Source organism: Homo sapiens, chromosome 10 (genome assembly GCF_000001405.40).
Source record: "Homo sapiens chromosome 10, GRCh38.p14 Primary Assembly".
NCBI classification, from domain to species: domain Eukaryota; kingdom Metazoa; phylum Chordata; class Mammalia; order Primates; family Hominidae; genus Homo; species Homo sapiens.
The window spans coordinates 122057947-122082447 of record NC_000010.11 but is presented as its reverse complement, the minus strand read 5'-3'; the positions used below and the strand labels follow the sequence as shown (position 1 = coordinate 122082447).

Sequence of the window (24501 nt, the reverse complement as noted above, 5' to 3'; positions counted from 1 at the left end):
CCAAAAACCACTGCAGGGTATCTCAAACACTCAGTGTGGGCCTTCCATGCTGATCAGCAGTGAATAGAGAAATGTGGCAACTCATTTATAGTAGTATAAAATGTGGGAAACCCAAAAAGGTTTTGTTTGTTTGTTTGTTTGAGACAGGGTCTTGCCCTGTCACCCAGGCTGAGGTGCAGTGGCACAATGATAGCTTACTGCAGCTTAGGCCTCCTCGGCTCAAGCAGTGCTCCCACCTCAACCTCCCAAGTAGCTGGGACCACAGGTTTGCACCACCACACCCAGCTAATTTTTAAATTTTTTGTAGAGATGGGGTCTTGCCATGTTGCTCAGGCTGGTCTCAAACTCAAGCAATCTTCCCACCTCAGCCTCCCAAAGTGCTGGAATTATAGGCGTGAGCCACCGTGCTGACAACTCAGAAAGTTGTTAATAAGAGTAAATCATAACAGGGGATTTGAACCAGTCCTGTGAAGATTACAGGCAGGTCTCCAGCACCCCTGGGGATCCTTAGATGTTCAGGAAAAAGCACAAGTTGGCAAAGCCAGGCTTTGAAATAAAGAGCCATTCCTGGTAATAGTTAACTTGATTCTTCACATTTAACAGGTGAGACAGGGACAGGCATAACCCCAAAATCATTTATATTTGGCTATGGAATTTCCGCACGTGACCTATGTATAAATCTTGGGAGCTGAATCACCTTCATACCCATATTTGTCTTAACTTGAACACTTATCTGGGTAATGTGTGGCGAAAAAAAGTGAAACACTCAGGGAACTTGGGGGAACTTGGCTCTGAATTTTGAACTTACTACAGATAACTAACTATCCAGTTATTATAAAATGGCTTATTACATGATGTATTTGGACTATGTTGCTCAATTCTACACAGTTTTAATGCTGTGCCTTTTTTTTTTTTTTTTTGAGACGGAGTCTCACTCTGTCACCCAGGCTGGAGTGCAGTGGTGCGATCTCGGCTCACTGCAAGCTCTGCCTCCTGGGTTCACGCCATTCTCCTGCCTCAGCCTCCCGGGTAGCTGGGACTGCAGAAGCCCGCCACCACGCCCAGCTAATTTTTTTTTTTTTTTGTAGTTTTAGTAGAGATGGGGTCTCACCATGTTAGCCAGGATGGTCTCGATCTCCTAACCTCGTGATCTGCCCGCCTCAGCCTCCCAAAGTGCTGGGATTACAGGCGTGAGCCACCACGCCTAGTCAATGCTGTGCAATTTTTAATTTTAAAAATAATATGTGGCCAACACAAAGTGTGGAAAATGTAGGAAAAAAAAATCAGAAAAAATACTGCTACATGCTTGCCACTTTCAGAGTTCTAGTGAATTTCCTGATTTTTCCTACACAATTGTTTGGGGGTACAATTCTTGTTATTTTTACATAATTGTGATTCTATATACTTGTTATGATCATATATATTCTATTAACAAGAGAAATTCCTCAAGACAAAGTTAACATAAGTATGGTTTTTCTAAAGCTTTTACCATTTTCTTTAAAGTTATTATAGGGGAAATATCAAAGGAAAATTTATGGAATCTTTTTGTAACTGTTTGTTACATGCACACATATTCACACACACATAAGCCCACAGCGTTCTGGAGGGGGCTAGTGGAAAGATTCTCCTCTCAATGTCCGCTACCAAAATTCCAGTTTTCCACACCAGGCAGTGCACATGCATTCATACATGAGGGATGCATACAGTGAGATGGTGAAGTGCATTATTGTTAAATTTTTAAAATATGTGCTATGAACTGAACTGTGCCCCCCTCAAATCCATATGTTGAAGCCCTAATCCCCAATGTGACTGTATTTGGAGGCAGGCACTTTAAGGAGGCAGTTGGGATTAAGTGAAGTTATAGTAGTGAGGCCCTAATCTGATAGGACTGGTGTTCTTTATAAGAAGAGGAAGAGGCCGGGTGCATGGCTCACACCTGTAATCCCAACATTTTGGGAGGCTGAGGCAGGCAGATCACTTGAGCTCAGGAGTTCAAGACCAGCCTGGGCAACATGGCGAAACTCCATCTCTAAAAAGAAATATGAAAATCAACTGGGCATGGTGGTGCACACCTGTAGTCCCAGCTACTCAGGAGGCTGACGTGGGAGGATCACTTGAGTGCTGGAGGTTGAGGCTGCAGTGAGCTGAGAACATGTCACTGCACTCCAGCCTGGGCAACAGAGTGAGACTCTGTCTCAAAACAAAAAAACACAAAAAAAAAACAAAAAAAAAAAAAGGAAAGGAAGAGACACCAGGAATGCAGATACACAAAGGAAAAGCTATGTGAGAACATCAAAAGCAGGTGTCTTCTGCAAGCTGGGAAGAAAGGCCTCACCAGAAACCAACTCCACCAGCACCCTGACCAGGACTTCCAGCCTCCAGAACCAGGAGAAAATACATTTCTGTATTTTAAGTCACTCAAGTTGTGGTGTTTTCTTATGGCAGCCCGAGCAGACTAATACCATAGACAGGTGGGTATTTACTGTCCCATCCTTTCAACATTTTTGAGGTTTCAGTTTTTCCAAAACAAAAAGTTGGGAAAATAATAACAGATGAAATTCACTAGGCCTCAGTGCTTTGTGTGGATTATCTCATTTAGCCCTGCCAACAGCTGTGCAAGGTGGGTACCACCCATGCCATTTGCAGATGAGAACCCTGGAGAACAGAGGCTAAGCATGGATCTCAACATGGACATCTGATTCCACTGGACACAATCTTCTTATTCACTCTGCTATGCAGAATAAAAACTTCCAAGGAAGGCAAGAGCCTCTTCCCCCAGCCCCATTCCAGCCTCTCTGTCCTGCTCCTCACCTCTGAAGTACACGCGGCGTCATTTGACATCCCTGAAGGAGGCATGTACACAGAACCACCCCTGCACTCATCTTTATCTAATGCCTGTTCCTGCACATAGGACATGGGAATGGTGCCTGAGGACCCAAAAGAGAGCTGGCTACTGTCTCAACCAGATTTGCATTTTCTGACCCAAAAGCAGAGCTGAGTAGGCCAAAAAAGAGAAAACTCAGAGGGTAAATTATATAAAACCCTCCGATTCACAAATGGTCACGGAAGACAGATGGGCCCATGGAGAGCCCTGGCCCGAGTGGGCTGACATCTGGAAAACTACTTGGGGTTTGGATAAAGTGTCTTGGCCTGGCTTTCTGGAAAGCACCAGGTCCAGAACGAAACCCGATGCCTCCTCCCCCACCCTTCGCTGCTCAGCATCTGGACCTGGCAATTTTCCTTGTAACAAGCACTTTACATTTCATTATGTCCCACCCATTAACTGAAGTCAAACAGTTTAGTATGTGATAAGAGTAATGGTGTGTAATTCAGAAATGAAGTGCTCCTATTTATGTCGGCTTTATCAAGCTGGAAAGAAACGAAGCCACTTTCTTGTCCACGCCTCTGACAGGAACTGCCAACTTAGGAAAGGATGTGGCTTCCCTTCAGGCTGGCTGAAGTCGTTACCATCTGGAACAAGATGATAAATTATATTTTGGCATCTTGTAAACTTGTGCGGTCTTATCAGAAAGCAACCAGGAACAAATTTTCCATGGAGTATGGGACACACAACAACTCCTCCCAAATAAGAACCCAGACATTGGTTTATTTAGCATAAGCTGGGTACCAGCAATCTCTTTGATTATCCATCAGAAGTAATTTTTAAAGCCAGATTAAAGCTGCTCACCAGGAGCAGATCTGCCTAAGGGCAGGAAAAATTCTAAGAACTGATCTGTTGAGGGCTGTGCATTAGTTGAAGCTTACATAATATCCTTTTATGCTTCGAGATTGAGTTGAAATGTGTGGGATAGAGCCTCTGCTCAGAATCCGCAGGCCAGCACCCCGAATGGAAGCCTTTCACCCTCTGGGGGCACTGCCTCTGTGTGGAGGTCAGGGAGGGCCCAGGGACTAGAGCCTCCATCACAGACCAGATGTACACAGCACAGTGAAGGGAGAAGCATGGGCAGGGGCTGGCAGGGGGTCATCTGCCACAACCAAGGTCTGAGCAGATGATGGGGATGCAGATGGGTTCTTAAATGCATAGTTCTGGAAACACACACACATGCAATGCTTAAAGGGAGGAAGGAGGCCAGCTACAGAAAACACAAACATGGCCCCTGCACGACCAGGTTTTCAGGAGTCGGCAAAACCATAAAGCAAAGCCGTAAAGATAGAGAGTTGCCATGTACTAAACACTGACTCAGGCCAGACCCTCTGGGCACTTTTTTTTTTTTTTTTTTTTTTTTTTTTTGGAGATGGAGTCTCGCTCTGTCGCCCAGGCTGGAGTGCAGTGGCACAATCTCAGCTTACTGCAACCTCCACCTCCTGAGTTCAAGCAATTCTCCTGCCTCAGTCTCCCGAGTGGCCTGGACTACAGGCGTGCACCACCATGCCCGGCTAATTTTTGTATTTTTAGTAGAGATGGGATTTCACCATATTGGCCAGGCTGGTCTCTAACTCCTGACTTCAGGTGATCTGCCCGCCTCGGCCTCCCAAAGTGTTGGGATTACAGGAGTGAGCCACTGAGCCTGGCCTGGGCACTTTTCAGTTACGATTGCGCTTAATCCACACAACAGCCTGGTAGAAGGGTGGCCCCATTGTACACACAAGGACATTTTCCCGAAGAAGTTCAAGACAGGACCCAGGGTCAAAGAGCCGGTAACGCAAAGCAAGATTGAGCCCTGTGGCGCTGCCTCCCGTTGCCTTGTACTGGCTGCCTGCACCAGCCTCTCACCGAACAAGTGCAGCATTCCCTTCTCCCATCCTCTCTGGCCCCCTTCATTCTGTTCTGCCAGCTGTGGCCAGACCAACAGCTTAGAAATCAAAGTCTGCTCCTGTCACCCCACTGTGGCTTCGCTTTGCTCTCAGTTGTGGCCCCAACCTCCCTCTCCTGCCTCATTCCGCATGAAGCTCCCCAGCCATGCATCTGCCTGGAGCCTGCAGCCCTCTGCTCCCCACCAGGTTGCAGCTCCACTCTTCGCTTCTCAGGGTAGCCTCCCTGGCCTGGGCTCCCAGATCAGTTTCTTTCACAGGCCCACCTAGCGCTAGTCATGGTTCCCATCACTATGGTTGGTGACTGTTTTCCCTATTGGAGTGTAATGGAGGCCAGGTCCTAGTCTCCTTTCAATATCATATCCCTGGTGCCTGGCATATAACAAACAATAAAATGTTGTTGATATATGAATGTACGAGTGAGTGCCAGGATGGATGGCTAGAAGGATGGACAGAAACAACTGAACCCAAATCAAGGATACTAAATATACAGAGATGCACCCAAATCGTGGTTGTTTCACTAGAAGATTATGAACATTCTTTTTTTTTTTTTTTTTTTTGAGACAGAGTCTCACTCTGTCACCCAGGCTGGAGTGCAGTGGCGCAATCTCTGCTCACTGCAACCTCCGCCTCCTGGGTTCAGGCAATTCTCGTGTCTCAGCCTCCCGAGTGGCTGGGATTACAGGCCTTTGCCACCATGCCCAGCTAATTTTCATATTTTTAGTAGAGATAGGGTTTTGTTATGTTGGCCAGGCTGGTCTCGAACTCCTGAGCTCAAGTGATCCGTCCGCCTTAGCCTCCTAAAGTGCTCGGATTATAGACATGAGCCACCGCACCCGGCCCAGATCATGAACATTCTTTTCTTCCATCAAGCATAGCATTCCAGTAATTCATTAGTCCAAACCTCTCATTTTACAAATGAGGAAACTGAGGCCCAGAAAAGGCAAAGTACTTTTTTTTTTTTTAATACTTCTGTGAAACAAAGTTAAGGCAGCACTTCTCAATCACACACCTCTACACTCACTGGTAGGTCTAATGTGTCAGGGCATGCACTGCAAGTAATTTGTGACTAATTATAAAGTACTAAAGCCTGTGAATGATTTGTTATTTTCATAAATTACTATAATTCAAAAGATTAGAAGATTTCCTAACATAACATCATCACTGCTACTCGTTGCATTCCGGTGTGCCTTCTGGAAAAGGAAAGCCGGGGTAGAATGAAAGCCAGTGGGTTAGTGCAATGGATTGAATGAATGTTTTCCCCTTCAAACTCCCGCTGAAACTTAATCCCCAAACTTAATCATGTTGAAAGGTGGGGGCCTTTAAGAGGTGAAGGTGATTGGGTTGTGAAGGCCCTGCCCTCAGGAATAGGTTAATCCATTCATGGATTACTGGGTTATCATGGTGGCTTTATGCAAAGAGGAAGGGAGACTTGAGCTAGTATGCTCATTTCTTTTACCAGTGATGTCCTGCGCCACCTCATAACTCTACAGAAGCCCCACCAGCAAGAATGCCCTCACCAGGAGCAGCCCCTTGCCCTTGGACTTCTCAGCCTCCATAACCGTAAGAAATCAATGCTAGGTGCAGTGGCTCACGCCTGTAATCCCACCACTTTGGGAGGCCGAGGTGGGCGGACCACCTGAGATCAGGAGTTCAAGACCAGCCTGGCCAACATGGTGAAACCCTGTCTCTACTAAAAATAAAAAAATACAAAAATTGTGGTGGCAGGCACCTGTAATCCCAGCTACTTGGGAGGCTGAAGCAGGAGGATTGCTTGAATCCAGGAGGCGGAGGCTGCCATGAGCTGACATCATGCCACTGCACTCCAGCCTTGGGCAACAGAGCAAGACCCTGTCTCAACAATAAAAAAAAGAAATCAATTATTTTTCTTTATAAATGCTCCAGTTTCATGTATTCTGCGATAAGCAACAGAACACAGACTAAGTAAGACTGACTAGCCTCTGAGAACTGCCAACTCAAATAAATGTTAACAGAGGCAGCAGCTGTGGTGGAGATGAGAGGATTCGAGGACTGAAAGGTGATCCCCAGCTCCCCACATTCCTGCCTGGGCCCTCAAATTAGAGACTTTCCCAACACTTCTGAGTTCTCAGTGAAGTATGATGCTTCTGCCATATTCTTTGCCCCCTTATGGTCACGTCCATTGGAGGAGATTTCTCCGAGTGGTGATATGGGGAGAGCCAGCCCCCGTGAGTCCAGTTTCCCCATGGGTGGGGTTAAGGTGTTCGAGGTCCTTGAGATGAACTACCACAATGCAGCCCCTTCTCCTCTCGCAGCTATTTGCCACGTGACGAGCTCCCTGGGCCAGCCTTCCCCATCCTTCATGGCACCTGCACTGATGCAGCTTGGGACTTGGTGGGGAAGGATGGTTCGGGGGTAGGTAGGAGGATTCCGGTTTTGGCATCCTGCAGCCTAACCTTGCCATGATACTGCTGACTTTCTTTCTTTCTTTCTTTTTTTTTTTTTTTGGCAGCAAGATTTATTGTGAAGAGCGAAAGAAAAAAGCTTCCACAGCGTGGAAAGGGACCCGAGCGGGTTGCCCTATACTGTTGACTTTCTTATCTTTCTCTGACTGTGGCATCTATTTCATAATTTAGAGTCTGGTGGAAAGGGTTGCGATTAATTAGCTCCCCAAACCCCACCAACATTTAGGATGTCCAAAGTGCTCTATTTCCTCACACATTCTGAGGGCTTGTCAAGATCTGAATTGGCCCATGGGATATGTTGTGCGAATGACTTCTTCAGGAGAAGGAAGGCTGAGACCGTGCCCAAAGAAAGGAAATGAAACTCCAGAAGGTTTTCAGTCCTACCTGACATGAAATCAGAATAAAACCAGTTAATTCGGGGACCACGTAGATCTTCACAGTGACACAGATAAGCTTCTGCAGTCACCTAGTCAATTCACTGTCTTTATTCCTGTCCTCGGCTTTGCATATTTTTCTCTCCATCAATCATAAGTCTGGTAGGCAAGGTGCTGTGTGGTTGTGAATGGTCAGAATTCTCTCCAGCACTCTAATCCCTGTATTTGACCCACTCCCAACTCTCTCTTTTTTCCCTTTTCCATCCCAAGCTGAAAAGACTGCTTAAGAAACAGTCCCCTCAAGAACTTCAGTGACTGAGCCAACTCTGATAGGTCATTCTGCATCAATTATTAATGGCTAACAAAAGTTACATAGGAAATGCCCTCCATAGTTTACAACTCTATGAAGGGCTTTTAAAAACCAAACTCAGTGCTTCTAATATATGACTGCTAGGTGTGTAAGAATGAAGCTTCCTAGGCTGGGCACAGTGGGTCATACCTATAATCCCAGCACTTTGGGAGGCCGAGGCAGGTGGATCACCTGAGGTCAGGAGTTCAAGACAGCCTGGTTAACATGGTAAAACTCCGTCTCTACTAAAAATACAAAAATTAGCTGGGCAAGTTGGCAGGCACCTGTAGTCCCAGCTACTCAGGAGGCTGAGGCAGGAGAATCGCTTGAACTTGGGAGGCAGAGGTTGCTGTGAGCCAAGATCACGCCACTGCATTCCAGCCTGTGCAACAGAGCGATACTCCGTCTCAAAAAAAAAAAAAAAAAGATGCCGGGTGCTGTGACTTACGCCTGTAATCCCAGCACTTTGGGAGGCCGAGGTGGGCAGATCACAAGGTCAGGAGATCCAGACCATCCTGGCTAACATGGTGAAACCCTGTCTCTATAAAACATACAAAAAAATTAGCCGGGCATGGTGGCGGGTGCCTGTAGTCCCAGCTACTTGGGAGGCTGAGGCAGGAGAATGGTGTGAACCCAGGAGGCGGAGTTTGCAGTAAGCCGAGATTGCGCCACTGCAGTCCAGCCTGGCTGACAAAGCAAGACCCTATCTCAAAAAACATAAAAAAAAAAGAATGAAGCTTCCTCTGTCCAAGGAATGTGGGAAGCACTAGGTGAAGTGCGGTTAAACAAGCTTTTCTACCGCAGGATTTCTCAGAGCCTTTGAGAAACCACTGTGCCTCGTGAGTCAACAAGAAGATACATATACACTGTTTCCCAAATTTGTTTCTTGGAAACCTTCCGTTGCCTTTTTCTCAGTAGAGCTTTTAGTAGGATGATGGGCCACAGAACACACTGTGGAAAGCACAGCCTTACATTAAAAGAAGAATTGGTAAGGACATTTCAGATGCCCTTGAGAGGACGACATGGATAGTTTCCAAAACACACTGTTCACCTCTCACCTCTCACCTCTCCCAGGTGGGATCTGCTTGTCAACCAGGAAGATGTGAACTGCTCTTTTGTGTCTCAGAGCAAAAGCCAAATCAGGTCTCTGAACACATGGAGTTCTCAAACCTTCCCAAGGTAGGATGTCTCCTTCCCCGTCTCCATGGTGAGACCCCCTGCTCCCCTTCCCGGGGCTGCATGCCACTCCCCAGGCCCTGTGTACAGACACTCTCTCAGTACCTGCCATGGCCTCTTGATTTGGATCCCCCCAAGGTTAAAGTGAGCTCATCTCATGTATGCGTGTGTGTGTGTGTATATATATATATATATATATATATATTTTTTTTTTTTTTTTTTTTTGAGACAGAGTCTGTCACCCAGGCTGGAGTCCAATGGCGTGATCTTGGCTCACTGCAAGCTCCGCCTCCTGGGTTCAAGCGATTCTCCTGCCTCAGCCTCCCTAGCAGCTGGGACTACAGGCCCGCGCCACCACGCCTGGCTAATTTTTTGTATTTTTAGTAGAGTCAGGGTTTCATCATGTTGGCTAGGATGGTCTCCATCTCCTGACCTCATGATCTGCCCTCCTTGGCCTCCCAAAGTGCTGGGATTACGCGTGAGCCGCCACGCCCGGCCCTCATTTATATTTTTATGTCTTAGTCTAGCACTGGGTCTACGCTCTGTTGAATGAGTGACTGAATGATGGCATACATAAATAAGTGAAGAAATACATATTTTTAAACTGACAGTTGTACTGGCACGACAACTGCTCACGTAGGTTGACACCTGCACCGTGGGAGGCATCACCTATTCCAGAGACTTTGGAAAAGGAATTTATATTCTAACTGATCCATGCTGAAGAAAGAATTCTAATGTTAATAGGAGAGAAAAACTGCCATGTCTTAACAGTGATAACATAGTAATTCACAGAGAAAGACACCTCCTCAGAAACTTCTTTGCAACCCTAGCACACTGTGTCCACTCCACACACATGGTCCTAACTTGTCCAAACAACCCTCCCCACAGAAGCCTGGGAGCCCACTGACCTTGGCAGGACAGCCAGACTTGGCTTTGTATTTTTAACCCAGTTTTATCTTCGCTGTGCTCATTCTTCAATAGAAAACAAACAAACAAACAAAACAAGTACGTGATGCTTGAGCAATCCAGGCAATAGATGACTGAAAAATATGTGTAGATTCTAAAGAGTTACTGGGGAGCTGGGCACGGTGGCTCACGCCTGTAATCCCAGCACTTTGGGAGACCAAGGCAAGCGGATCACAAGGTCAGGAGATTGAGACCATCCTGGTTAACTAAAATACAAAAATTAGCCGGGCATAGTGGCAGGCGCCTGTAGTCCCAGCTACTCGGGAGGTTGAGGCAGGAGAATGGTGTGAACCCGAGAGGAGGAGCTTGCAGTGAGCTGAGATCGCGCCACTGCACTCCAACCTGAGCAACAGAGTGAGACTCCATCTCAAAAAAAAAAAAAAAAAAGAGTTATTGGGGAGATCAACATGTGTATGCGGATGTGGATTAAACCCCAAAGTATCCTACACAAGTCATATGAACTTTTTTTTTTTTTTTTTGAGACAGAGTCTCACTCTGTTGCCCAGGCTGGAGTGCAGTGGCGCAATCTCGGCTTACTGCAACCTCCACCTTCTGGGTTCAAGCATTTCTCGTGCCTCAGCCTCCTGAGTAGCTGGGATTACAGGTGCCCGTCACCACGCCCAGATCACTTTTTTTTTTTTTTTTTGTATTTTTAGTAGAGACAGGGTTTTCCCATGTTGGCCAGCCTGGTCTCGAACTCTTGACCTCAGATGATCCACCTGCCTCGGCCTCCCAAAGTGCTGGGATTACAGGAGTGAGCCACTGTGCCTGGCCTCATACGAGCTTCTATATGACTTCAAGGTCAGGTGCCACTCCATTCCTGAGAATCCATTATCCAGCATAGTGTGGGGATGGGGACAGGCAACTGAATTTCAAAGAAAATTCGAAAACTATCTTTTAACCAATTTTTTTCAGCAACCCTCTCCTGGGGTCCTAAAAGTCAACAGAATGACCCCATTTTGTGATTCCCAGACTGGCTGCTGGAAGGGGCTACTGCTGGGTTGTTGCACACCAGTACTCCCCATAGCCAGAATGAACTTGGCTTTCACATCTGTCTGTTGTCCTTCAAACGTGTCTAGATAAAGTCATGCCAATAACATTCTGATATAATAATTTCTGATCATTCAGACTTTTCTTAATGATCAAATACCAAAAATAAAACTACTATCCCATTAGAGAAAATACCTGTTTTTAATCACAATAAAGATCTTTAAAACTTGAATAAGCCCAAATCAAGGGATTTGGTAGAATATTTACCTGAGTATAAACATTTCTTAATTTTAAGTTAAGCCCTTGCTAGTGCTTCATGGAAAAATGCAAATGAGAGTTTTGCTTGTATAGCTAGATTCTGGTGGTGTTTTTATGTTATTTTGACACCATGAGGATATTTTGAACAACAAAGAGTGGTAAACGTATTTTTGTTATATCCCTTTTTTTTTTTCCAGACAGGGTCTTCCTCTGCTACCCAGGCTGGAATACAGGGGTGCAATCTCAGCTCATTGCCACCTCTGCCTCCAGGCTCAAGTGATTCTCCCACCTCAGCCTCCCGAGTAGCTGGGGCTACAGGCATGCATTACCACACCTAGCTAATTTCTTTTTTTTTTTTTTTTTTGAGACGGAATTTTGCTCTTCTTGCCCAGGCTGGAGTGCAATGGCGAGATCTCAGCTCACTGCAACCTCTACCTCCCGGGTTCAAGTGATTCTCCTGCCTCAGCCTCCCAAGTAGCTGGGATTACAGGCATGTGCCAACACGCCCAGCTAATTTTGTATTTTTAGTAGAAACGGGGTTTCTCCATGTTGGTCAGGCTGGTCTCCAACTCCCGACCTCAGGTGATCCGCCCGCCTTAGCCTCCAAAATGCTGGGATTACAGGCATCAGCCACCGCGCCTGACCCAAACCTGGCTAATTTTCTTATGCTTTGTAGAGACAGGATTTTGCCATGTTTCCCAGGCTGGTCTCAAACTCCTGAGCTCAAGCAATTAGCCCACCTCAGTCTCCCAAACTGCTAGGATTATAGGCATGAGCCACCATGCCCAGTCTATATCCCTTCTTGATAAGACTCCTAGCATTAATTAAAATCATTTTCCTGCCACAGTAAACATTGTACAAAACAGGGAACATAGTGGAAATGTCTCTTGATGACTGAAAGTCTTTCAGAGAATTTGGGGCATTCTCTGACGCATAAGATGTTACCGGTGTTACCTGTCTCAGACTGAGCTCTTATGTCCTGAGCTCAAAAATGTGATGAAGGGTTTCTTTTTAGAATAAATCCTCATTGCCAGTCTATTTTGTTGAGATCGTCTCTCTGTAATCCCATTAATCTAAACTGGGGAAAAAAGTGGATGAGTCAACATTACTGGGCGCCAAGCTGGCTCAATGTCAAAGACATAAAGATCATCCAGCTTCCTTCCCAGCATTAACACAGCTGCAGAGACAAGTTTGGGAAGATTAACCACTGTCAAAGTTGGCATTTGAGGTCACAGCAAGACAGAGGGGAGACTGCAAGTGTCGGTGATACAAGGAGCTCTTGAAGGGAGAAGAGAAACAACTTTGCCCGCGGCATCTTGTCTCTTATTCTTTTTTTCTAGAAGGGTCTCCCCACCTCTTCCAAAATAAATGCCAGGTGTTTTGCTGCATTCCTATTTAAAACCCAAGAAAGCAACTTGATACGGTGGCTTTTCAATGTTTTCAGAGAGCCTAGGTTGGAAAACGTCATATGAGGAATTATTAACTACAAGAAGGGTTGGGCTAATGGAGGATTAGCTGCTAAGGAAGACAGAGGAAAGGAGGAGCAGGAATCCTGGAGATAGAAGAAAACAATGGGGGCCAGGCGCAGTGGCTCACACCTGTAATCCCAGCACTTTGGGAGGCCAAGGCAGGTGGATCATGAGGTCAGGAGATCAAGACCATCCTGGCTAACACGGTGAAACCCCATCTCTACTAAAAAATATAAAAAATTAGCCGGGCGTAGTGGTGGGCACCTGTAGTCCCAGCTACTTGGGAGGCTGAGGCAGGAGAATGGTGTGAATCTGGGAGGTGAAGATTGTAGTGAGCCGAGATGGCGCCACTGCACTCCAGGCTGGGCGACAGAGCGAGACTCCGTCTCAAAAAAAAAAAAAAATAAATAAAATAAACAATGAGGTGAGGTAAGCCTTGCTGTTGCCCCCACTGAAGGTCTGGAGAAAGCGGCACAGAGAAGGGGGTTCCAGGTGGAGCCCAACAGTCGCCCTGACTTGAGATGAAGCTGTGTATCTGGGGAGACCGAGGCAGCTGCAGTTCCCAGAGTAGAATACTAGAGAGGGGAGGACTGATCGGCATGTGCAGGTGTAGAAACCCCCTAAGGTAAGGTACAGAACACCTGAAAGGTTGGGCCCGCGCGGTGCCTCACGCCTGTAATGCCAGCACTTTGGGAGGCTGAGGCGGGTGGATCACGAGGTCAGGAGTTCGAGACCAGCCAAGCCAATATGGTGAAACCTCGTCTCTACTAAAAATACAAAAAAAAAAAAAAAAAACTTCTAGGTCACACAGACAGAAAAATGCCAGGTGTGGTGGAGCGCGTCTGTAGTCCTAGCTACTCAGGAGGCTGAGACAGGAGAATCACTTGAACCCGGAAAGCGGAGGTTGCAGTGGCCCGAGATCGCACCACTGCACTCCAGCCTGGGCGACACCGTGAGACTCCATCTCAAAAAAAAAAGGTTTCGGAGGAGCAATCCTCACAGCTCACACAGAGCTGGGAATAATTCCTGTTCCCACCGGCCAGAGTGGAGTACCTCATCACTCATAAGGCATCTGCTGAGCACAAAGGCAGGTTTTGTCTCAGTATTGGGGAAGATTAATCCTCACCTAAACACTGCTCTCGTTCCATCTAATGAAGCGAGATGCAGAGGATTAAGTTGTTCCAAATAACTTAACTGCATCCCAGAGCAAAGTTCAATAGCATTTATAGGAATACGAAAATATCCAGAACCCAAAAAGCTTAAAGTCCACAGTGTCCAGCCTGTGAGCAGGGAAATGTGACCCATAACAAAGAAAAAAAATAACATAATTTGTCTTGAACCAAGAAATTACACAGATAATAGAATTACTATAAAAAGACTTTTTTTCCAGAATTATAACTGTATTCCATATGTTCAGGAGGCTAGAGGGAAGACCGAGTATGTCAAGCACAGAGGGAAGATGTAAAAAAGACCCAAATCAAACTTCTAGAGATGAAAACTGCAATGTCTAAAATAAAAAACCCACTGGGTGAAATTAATGACAGGTTAGCCACTGCAGAGAAAAAGATTAGTGAACTTCAAGATATAGCGATAAAAATGTTCTAAAATGAAACACAGAGAGAATTAAGACTGAAAGAAATAACAACAACAACAAAAAAGCATCAGTGAGCTGTGAGACAAATTCAAGTAACCAAATATATGTGTAGAGTCCCCACAGGAGGAGGGGAGATACAAAATATTTGAAGAACTGATGACTGAAAAATCTCCAAATATGATGTAAACTATTAACCAACATATCCAACAATCTCAACTAATGCCAAGCATAAGAAACAGCGAGGGCCGGTGTTCAGGGCAGTGGCTCACGCCTATAATCCCAGCATTTTGGGAGGCCAAGGCGGGTGGATCACTTGAGGTCAGGAGTTCGAGACCAGCCTGGCCAACATGGTGAAACCCCATCTCTACTAACATACAAAAATTAGCCAGGTGTGGTGGCATACGCCTATAATTCCAGCTACTTGGGGGGCTGAGGCAGGAGAATTGCTTGAACCTGGGAGGCGGAGGTTGCAGTGAGCCAAGATCAGGCCACTGCACTCCAGCCTGGGTGACAGAGTAAGACTGTGTCTAAAAAAAAAAAAAAAAAACCAGAAACAGTGAAAAACCTACACCACCAAGGCATATCGTAACCAAACTGCTTCAAACCAGTGAAAAAGTGAAACATATTAAAAGTAGCCAGAGAAAAAAAGAACAAAGGTAAGAATTTTGTTGGAAATAATGAAAGCCAGAATACAGAAATAATATCTTTAAAGTGTTGAAAGAAAAAAACTGCCTACCTAGAAATCTTTGCCCAGACAAAATATTTTTCTAAACCAGGTGAAATAAAGATTTTTCCAGACATACAAAAGCTAAAAGAATAACCCCTAGCAGACCTACATTTCAGGAAATGTTAAAGGAAGACCTTCAAGCAAAAAGAAAAGAATACAAAATGGTAATCAGGATCTACACAACAGAATAAAGAACACCCAGAAAATGGTAACTATGCAAGTAAATACAGTCTCTTTTTCCTTGTTACTTAAATCTCTTTTAAAAGATAATTGGCTGATTAAAGCACAAATAATATGTATTATGGGATGTGTAGCTTATATATAAAGACCAAATAGAACAAAGTCTGAAACAGAAGAAATGGAAGCATATTGTTGTAAGCCTCTTCTAATAAATGTAAAATGATATAATCATTGTGAAAGTAGATTGTGAGATATTAAAGATGTATATTGTACTTCTTAAAGCAACCACTAAAATAACACAAATAGTTGTAGCTAATAAAATAATCCAAAAGAAGGCAAAAAAGGAGGAAAAATGGAATAAGACTATAGATTTAAACCAACCATATTAATAATCACAATAAATGTGAATGTTATAAACACTCCAGTTAAAAGCTACAGATTTTTAGGCCAGGCACGGTGGCTTTTGCCTATAATCCCAACACTTTGGGAGGCCGAGGCAGGCAGTTCACTTGAGGTCAGGAGTTTGAGACCAGTCTAGCCAACATGGTGAAACCCCATCTCTACTGAAAATACAAAAATTAAGCTGGGCGCGGTGGCTCACGCCTCTAATCCCAGCACTTCGGGAGGCCAAGGCAGGCGGATCACAAGGTTAGGGGTTCGAGACCACCCTGACCAACATGGTAAAACCCGTTTTCTACTAAAAATACAAAAATTAGCTGGGTGTGGTGGTGCACACCTGTAATCCCAGCTACTCAGGAGGCTGAGGCAGGAGAATCACTTGCACCTGGGAGGTGGAGGTTGCAGTAAGCTGAGACTGTGCCACTGTACTCCAGCCTGTGCGACAGAGACTCTGTCTCAAAAAAAAAAAAAAAAATAGCTGGGCATGGTGGCAGGCCCCTGTAGTCCCAGCTACTTGGGGGGCTGAGGCAGGAGAATCACTTGAACCTGGGAGGTGGAGGCTGCAGTGAGCCAAGATCACACCATTGCACTGGTGTGATAGAGCAGCCTGGGTGATAGAGTGAGACCCTGTCTCAAAAAAAAAAAAAAGTATAGATTTTCAGAGTGCATTAATAAAACAAGATCCAACTCTATGCTGCCTACAATATAGGTACTTAAATTTTTTTAAAGCACAAATAGGCTAAATGTAAAACAATGGAAGAAGGGGAAGATGTACTATGCAAACACTAATCAGGCTGTTGTGTCTATATTATTTAAGACAGTAGATTTTGCAGCAAAAAATATTACAGGCATAAAGAACATAATGTTATAATGATAGAGGATTCAATTTATCCATATAAATTCTAAAATTTTATACATTCTAAAATAAACATTAAAAATTCTAAAAATTTTTATCAAATAACAGAGCTTCAAAACACAAGAAGCAAAAACTGCTAGAACTGAAAGGAGTAATGGACAAATCCACAATTATAGTCTGGTATTTCCAAACCCCTCTCTCAATAATTGAACAAGTGGATAGAAAATCAGTGTGGATACAGATGACGTGAACAACACTATGACCAACTTGACTTAATTAACACTTTTTTAACACCATCCAATAATAGCAAAATAACATTTTTTTCAAGTACAGATGGAACACGTACAAGGGAGACCATATTCTGTGCATAAATTTGAGATGATTCAAATTATACAAAGTATCTTATCTGGCTACAATGAAATTAAATTAGAAATCAATAACAGAAAGATATCTGGAAAATCCCCAACTATTTGGAAACAATAACACATTTCTGAATAGTCCATGAGTAAAAGAAGAAAGAAAGAAGGAAATTGTAAAGTATTTGAACAGAATGAAAATGAAAACAGAAATATCAAAATTTGTGGGACGCAGTTAAAACAGGTCTCAGAGTGACATTTATAGCACTAAAATGCCTATATTTTAATAAGGTCTCAAATCAATGATGCCAGCTTCTCAGCTAAGAAACTACAGAGACACTGGTCAAACAACAATGTGATTATACCTAATACTACTGAACTGTACACTTAGAAACGGTTAAGATGGTAAATTTTATGTTCTGCCCTTTACCACAATAAAAAAATTTTTTTAAATCAACAAGTATCCGTGTATAAAATAAGCCAGAGAGCAAAGCATACATACTATTTGCTTCCATTTATATAGAGTTCAAGATCTGTCAAAACCAATCAATGGTGATAGAAGTCAGAATAGTTGTTACTCTTGGGCAGGGGTATTGACTGGGAAGGAACAAGAGAGAACAATCTGGTATGATGAAAATGACCTAGATCTATACAGGACTATAAGCATTCATCAAGCTCTCAAATTCAGACAACTCACAGTATGTATCTGATACCAATAAAAAAGGAATTAGAACAAAACTATAGAGACACTAAAAAGAGAGTGATTCCCAAGAATGTGGGAGGATGGAGGGAGGGGAATGGGTGGAGCCTAAGGGGTTTTTAAGGCAGTGAAACTAATATCATAATGACGGATACATGACCTTATGCATTTGTCAAATTCATCAGAATGTACAACACAAACTGAACTTTAATGTAAACGATAGTAAGTCCTCAATGTTGTCCAGTGGTTCTTGGAAACTGCAACTTTGAGCAAATAGTTATAGAGTAGGCTCTCCAATAATGTGGTTTTGTTCAATGTAGTTTCAGTAAAATGATGACAAAAAGACTGGTCTCATTATACATCATTTCACTTAAAATTGCAGTTTCTAAGAACATATTAATGACACTGAGGGAGAACTTACTGTATAGACTTTAGTTAATAATAATGTATCAATATTGGCCCATTAGTTGAAACAAATATACCACATTAATGTGAGGTGTTAATAATAGGGGAAACTGTATGGAGGAGGGAAGTGTGCATGGGAACTCTTTTGTAATAGCTACACGATTTTTCGGTAACCTAAAACTGTTCTGAAAATAGCCTATTAATTATTTTTAAAGTGCATATACATATATAAAAATTATATACACACACACACACTTTTTGTTGTTGTTTGAGACAGAGTCTCGCTCTGTCACCCAAGCTGGAGTGCAGTGGCATGATCTTGGCTCACTCCAACCTCTGCCTCCTGGGTTCAAGCGATTCTTCTGCCTCAGCCTCCCAAGTAGCTGGGACCACAGGCATACACCACCGCGCCCGGCTAATTTTTGTATTTTTAGTAGAGACGGGGTTTCACCATGTTGGCCAGGCTGGTCTCAAACTCCTGACCTCAAGTGATCCACCTGCCTCGGCCTCCCAAAGTGCTGGGGTTACAAGAGTGAGCCACCACGCCTGACCACACACACACATTTCTTTAAGGGTGTGTGTGTGTGTGTGTGTGTGTGTATTATATAATATATATGTATAATATATAATTTGAATATGTTTTTATAATATATATGCACACTTAATATACCACCTAACAAAATATAGCTATCTCACAATCAATAAAGAAAAGAACTAGAAAAAAGAAGAGTGTGAGGAAAACACTAATATTTTGAAAGCCATTGTCTGCATATGGTAGGAGCATTGGTGATTTTTTCCTCTCCACTCTGCACTCTTCGCTATGTTCCAAGTTGCTACAATAAATGGGTATTATCTCCTAATGGAAAAATACTCCTCTTCCCCTGTTGTTTAAAGCCTCAAATGCTCTGTTGAAACCAGAGGAGCAGAAAACAGACACACACCTAATTCAGCACATGATCTTCCTTTTCAGCCAGCGTCAAAAGTCAGGAGCTCACTCCTCCTCTCCCTCCCACTCTCCTTTCTGTGTTTACTTCCTGCCAAAGATAAATAATGAGTCAGAAGCAGGACAAGGAGGGGCGGAGGCTGCTCTGCGCTCTGCCCGACACACCCTGGCTGGGCAGGAGCCTGGGAATTGATCTTAGAGTCCTCCCAAGTTTGGAAGGAACAGAGCAGGCCGCCTGGGAAATACAGGGCTCTGTCTGTAAGAGCTGGCCCGGGCCGATGTGCAAAACACAGCTTAGATCTTTCTGATTTTTCTTTTTTCTGCTAAGAACTGACCCTGTTTATAGGAAAACTAAATGTTAAGGATTGACCAAGGTTCACTTTCTAATATGGAGACCAGAACACAAACACTTCAGACACCTGTGAGAGTCAGTTACGAGTCTGGGTTTCAGGTGGATCAAACCAGCCTCGGTTCTAGTCCCCGCCCTGCCACATTCTGTCTGTGTGACCTAGAACAAGTTCCTTAACCTCTCTGAGCCCTGATTTCCTCATAAGGCCCCCTTGGGTCATCTACAGCCATCCACACAGAGCTGCCGGGTGAGGTGATGTGTGTAGCCCTAGGCCCAATGCCCAGCCTGCAGCAGACCGATTCCACAAATGACAGTGAAACGGAGGAGTAAGAAACATCCTGGCCTTCCATTTAAAGCCCATTTAGTTCATTTTTTCAAACCATCTTTCTAAACCCTTCCCCATAGTTGCTGCTATCCACACCAAAGATGTTTTTGTTCTAACTAGGAGTTTGTCTTCTGAAAAAGCCAAGAGGTTGAGCTTAATATTATGCTACACCTCCTATCTCCCAGATGTAAAGAAGCTCTGGGCCTGGCACAGTAGCTCATGCTTGTAATCCCAGCACTTTGGGAGGCCGAGGCAGGTGGATCACCTAAGGTCGGGAGTTCGAGACCAGCCTGACCAATATGGAGAAACCCTGTCTCTACTAAAAAAAAAAAAAAAATTCAAAATTAGCCGGACGTGGTGGCGCATGCCTGTAATCCCAGCTACTCCGGAGGCCGAGGCAGAATCACTTGAACCCGGGAGGTGGAGGTTGTGGTTAGCCAAGATGGCGTCATTGTACTCCAGACTGGGCAACAAGAGTGAAACTCCAGGCGTGGTGGCTCACGCCTGTAATCCCAGCACTTTGGGAGGCCGAGGCGGGCAGATCACAAGGTCAGGAGATTGAGACCATCCTGGCTAACACAGTAAAACCCCGTCTCTACTAAAAAATACAAAAAATTAGCCAGGCGTGGTGGCGGGCACCTGTAGTCCCAGCTACTCAGGAGGCTGAGGCAGAGAATGGAGTGAACCCAGGGAGGCGGAGCTTGCAGTGAGCGGAGATGGTGCCACTGCACTCCAGCCTGGGTGACAGAGCGAGACTCCGTCTCAAAAAAAAAAAAAAAAAAAAAAAAAGCCGCTCTGACATGTCCTAAAGTTTATGTGTCTAGTCCTTCTAAAATTCTGTTTCCTGTGGATCTACGATAGGGACAGCTGTTCTCTGCCTGGGACTGTCTTTTCCCCATAACCCTCTACTTCTACTCAGTTTTGAAGACCTAGCCCCAAGAAACCTCCCCTGGAGACCTCTCCTGGTTCTCCCCAGCAGAGCCAGCCCCTCTCTCCCCGCCCCTGTGCTCCCAGAGACCCCACCTAGGGCATTTAGCTTGTTCTAGAATTATTCATTTGCATGCGTTTCTCTAGACTGGACTGGACATCTTGCTCATCTTCGTGCCTCTGGTCCAGCCCAGAGCTTGACCTGTAGTGTGTAGTGGGCCCGTGTTGATTAAATGGACTAAGACACCGACCCCCTAAAAAGGCTGGGGTGCTAAGGAGCTGGGCATGGAGCAGGAAATGAGCTGTCCCTGAAGCAGAAAGGAGAACTCTGCTTTTCTCTCAAAGATGCCAGGCCTTCCTGGGATTCCCCCAGCACAAGCCCGGGTCTGTGATAGTCGGCACTTTGTCCTGACAGCTTCACCTGGCACCCGTAGGATTTCCTCCTGGAGCCCAGGTCTGTGGCCGTGGAACTCGGCAGACACACCTGACCTTAGTGCTTTTCACATCTCAGCATATGGTCCCACCTGCCCAGTCACTCAAGCCAAAGCTTCAGGAATCTTCCTCGATTCTTTTCTCCCTCCTTTTTTTTTTTTTTTTTTTTTGAGACGGAGTGCAGTGGCGCCATCTCGGCTCACTGCAAGCTCCGCCTCCCGGGTTCACGCCATTCTGCTGCCTCAGCCTCCCAAGCAGCTGGGACTACAGGCACCTGCCACCACGCCCGGCTAATTTTTTTTGCATTTTTAGTAGAGATGGGGTTTCACCGTGTTAGCCAGGATGGTCTCGATTTCCTGACCTCGTGATCTGCCCGCCTCGGCCTCCCAGAGTGCTGGGATTACAGGTGTGAGCCACCGTGCCTGGCCCCCCCCCCTTTTTTTTTTTTTTTTTTTGAGATGGAGTCTCTGTTGCCCAGGCTGGAGTGCAGTGACATGATCTTCGCTCACTGCAACCTCCACCTGCAGGGTTCAAGTGATTCTCCTGCCTCAGCCTCCCGAGTAGCTGGGATTACAGGCATGCGCCACCACGCCCGGCTAATTTCTGTGTTTTTAGTAGAGACAGAGTTTCGCCATGTTGGCCAGGCTGGTCTCAAACTCCTGACCTCAGGTGATCCGCCCACCTTGGCCTCCCAAAGTGCTGGGATTACAGACATGAGCCACCGCACCTGGCCTCTTTTTCTTTTTCCTTCTAAAGCCAGTCTATCAGCAAGTCCTGGCATCTCTAGCTCCACTATATCCAAAATATGGAAAGCTGCTCACATTTTCTCCACCTTCACTGGTATCTCAGTCCATGCACTCTCAATGGGCCAAGACCATCCCTAGGTGGGGTGAAAATTGGTTCTTGAGAGGTGAAAAGAGCCTTAGATAGTACAATAGTCTGTGGCCTCAAAGGCCATAGCACAGAAACATATACAGCATTCCTGTGGTATTGAACTTTCTTGGAGAGGGAAAGGCAATGAGGAATAAATGTCTCTAACTTCCTTGCAGGCAGCCAGGAGTGAGTGGCAATAAAAACGAGCTTGAGAAACCCTGCCCTAGTTCCAGGTACCACATCTTGCTTGGGGATTTGCCTGGGGCTCTGCCTGGGGCTCTACCTGGGCCCCTTCTTTGACCGCCTGGCCCCAGTCTTGCTTGCATCCCCAGCACCAGAAGGAAATCCAAGTTCCTCACCATGGCCTTCAGGGTCCAGGCTTGGCTGATCAGGCCCCTGCCCACCTCGCCATCTCTCACTGCCTCAATGGTCACCCATTCCTCTAAAGCAGGGAATTCTTCCTCCTTAAGCCCTTTGCAAGGCCTGTCCCTCCACCTGGAATGCCTGGTCCCCTAGGTCTTCCATGTCTGCCTTTTTGTCATTCCAGACGCAGTTCCTGTATCACCTCCTTCTCTGGCCATCTAATCCAGTGGTTCTCAAACCTTAGGAGTGCCAGATCCCTGGGCTTGTTAAAACACACATCACTAGGCCCCACCCTGAGTTTCTAGTTCAGTGAGTGGGAGTGGGGTCAAAGCTTTGCATTTTTAACAAATTCCCAGGTGATGCTGAGACCACTGGGCCAGAACCCCACTTTGAGAATGGCAGGTCTAATCTAAAGTAGCCACTTTCCCTGTTACTCTCTAGCTTGACACCCTGCTGGGTACCTTTCAGAGCCTCCACACCACCCAAAAGTGTCTCTGTTCTATTTGTTTCCTTGCTCAATGTCTAACTCCTTAACTACAGTGTATTTACCCACCGGAGCAGAGCTCCCATGGTGCGTGCTGCCAGCTGCATCCTCACCACCTAGTGCAGGAGCAGGCACAGAATGGCTGCCCAGTAAATATATGTTGGAAAAAAAAAAGAGGAGAGAACAGGAGAGGGGGCATGAGTCTGTATGCGAATTATCCAAAGCGCAAACAAAAGTTAGCTATCCTTATTGGCCTGGGGGTAAACCCTGGTCAGTGTCTCCCAAACTTGCTTTCTCATGAGAATCTCATGGGATTCTTATTACAAACACAGATTTAGGGGTCTCATCCCAAATCTACTGGCTCAGACTCTTCAAGGGGGGAGGGGGGTGTTCAGGAAACGGGTACTTTAACTGATATCCCAGTCAATTCTGATAAACTGGTCCTGGCAATAGCTCACCATTCCTTAAATTTCCCTCCTCAGAAGAATCACCTGGGGTGCTTATTAAAAACACAGATGGAGCCCGGGTGTGGTGGCTCACGCCTATAATCCCAGCACTTTGGGAGGCTGAGGCGGGCGGATCACAAGGTCAGGAGTTCGAGACCAGCCTGACCAACATGGTGAAACCCCGTCTCTACTAAAAATACAACAACAACAACAACAACAACAACAACAAATTAGCCAGGCGTAGTGGCAGGCGCCTGTAATCCCAGCTACTCAGGAGGCTGAGGCAGGAGAATGGCTTGAACCCGGGAGGTGGAGGTTGCAGTGAGCCGAGATTGCGCCACTGCACTCCATCATGGACACCAAAAACGAAACCGTGTCTCAAAAAAAAAAAAAAACACACAGAGGGGGCTGGGCTCAGTGGCTCACGCATGGCCTAGCTCTCACTTTAGATGTCCCAGTGTTTAATGTTGGATCTTTCTTTTGGGTTCTTGATCCAGAACCTTAGCATCTTCTTGTCAACTGAAGAATCATGAGGTTCATAAATTTGGGGAGGAAAGCTTATTTCTTATAAAGAGTTGCAGTGGCCAGGCACGGTGGCTCATGCCTGCAAATCCCAGCACTTTGGGAGGCCGAGGCAGGTGAATCACAAGGTCAAGAGATAGAGACCATTCTGGCCAACATGGTGAAACCCCGTCTCTACTAAAAATACAAAAATTAGTTGGGCATGGTGCTTCGCACCTGTAGTCCCAGGTACTTGGGAGGCTGAGGCAGGAGAATCACTTGAACCCGGGAGGTGGAGGTTGCAGTGAGCCAAGATCGCGCCACTGCACTCCTGTCTGGCGACAGAGTGAGACTCCGTCTCTAAATAAATAAATATATAATAAAGGGTTGCAGCCTGCAGGCTGGCCATCCATCCCGCAGGCTGGGAAGTGACAGAAGCGCTTCCGCGCTTTGCAGCGGAAGCCGGAAGCAGGCACTTGAGGTAGGGAAGTTTGAGACTGGAATTTATGCTGAACAGGCGAAGTAGACACATTCAACAGATTATAGGAAGAGCTATGAGTATTCATGAAGAGGGGCGTGCATGCATAGTAAGCAAATGGACATGTTACACCCCATGCTCACTTTGTGGTGTAGACAACATTTAAATGCGCTAAAATTAGGCTTTATACATTAAAAGGTGACGCAGAGGGTGCGAAGGCACTCAGGGTGCTGAACCACTCCATGGTGGGTGGTCTCTTGTGTGGAAGGAATGCTGGTCAGTTGTTGTGTGGAAACCACAAAAGGGAAGGGGATCTAGCTGAAACCAGTGGTGGAGCAAGTCTTTCGAAAGGGCTGGTTTGCTT

At 45.5% G+C, this 24501-nt stretch overlaps 1 protein-coding gene across 48 annotated transcripts in view, besides 5 other annotated features; it reads right to left on the bottom strand.

The window, feature by feature from the left end:
• The window catches only part of TACC2 (transforming acidic coiled-coil containing protein 2), a 265380-nt gene that overhangs the window by 172095 nt on the left and 68784 nt on the right, over nucleotides 1-24501 (bottom strand). The gene's annotated exons all lie outside the window — the stretch shown is intronic.
• Nucleotides 4843-5344: an enhancer, noted in NCBI's record as "H3K4me1 hESC enhancer chr10:123836619-123837120 (GRCh37/hg19 assembly coordinates)". NCBI's record gives its function as "activates a minimal SCP1, AML or CMV promoter by ChIP-STARR-seq in primed H9 embryonic stem cells {active_cell/tissue: H9 hESC(primed)}" and the evidence as "EXISTENCE:reporter gene assay evidence [ECO:0000049][PMID:30033119]".
• Nucleotides 12348-12548: a silencer, noted in NCBI's record as "peak1120 fragment used in MPRA reporter construct". NCBI's record gives its function as "represses an SCP1 promoter by STARR-seq MPRAs in K562 erythroleukemia cells {active_cell/tissue: K562}" and the evidence as "EXISTENCE:reporter gene assay evidence [ECO:0000049][PMID:32103011]".
• Nucleotides 18900-19194: an enhancer, noted in NCBI's record as "tiled region #2354; HepG2 Activating DNase matched - State 5:Enh, and K562 Activating DNase unmatched - State 5:Enh". NCBI's record gives its function as "activates a minimal TATA promoter and a strong SV40 promoter by Sharpr-MPRA in HepG2 and K562 cells {active_cell/tissue: HepG2 | K562}" and the evidence as "EXISTENCE:reporter gene assay evidence [ECO:0000049][PMID:27701403]".
• Nucleotides 18900-19214: a biological region, named in NCBI's record as "Sharpr-MPRA regulatory regions 8460 and 2354".
• Nucleotides 18920-19214: an enhancer, noted in NCBI's record as "tiled region #8460; HepG2 Activating DNase unmatched - State 5:Enh, and K562 Activating DNase unmatched - State 5:Enh". NCBI's record gives its function as "activates a minimal TATA promoter and a strong SV40 promoter by Sharpr-MPRA in HepG2 and K562 cells {active_cell/tissue: HepG2 | K562}" and the evidence as "EXISTENCE:reporter gene assay evidence [ECO:0000049][PMID:27701403]".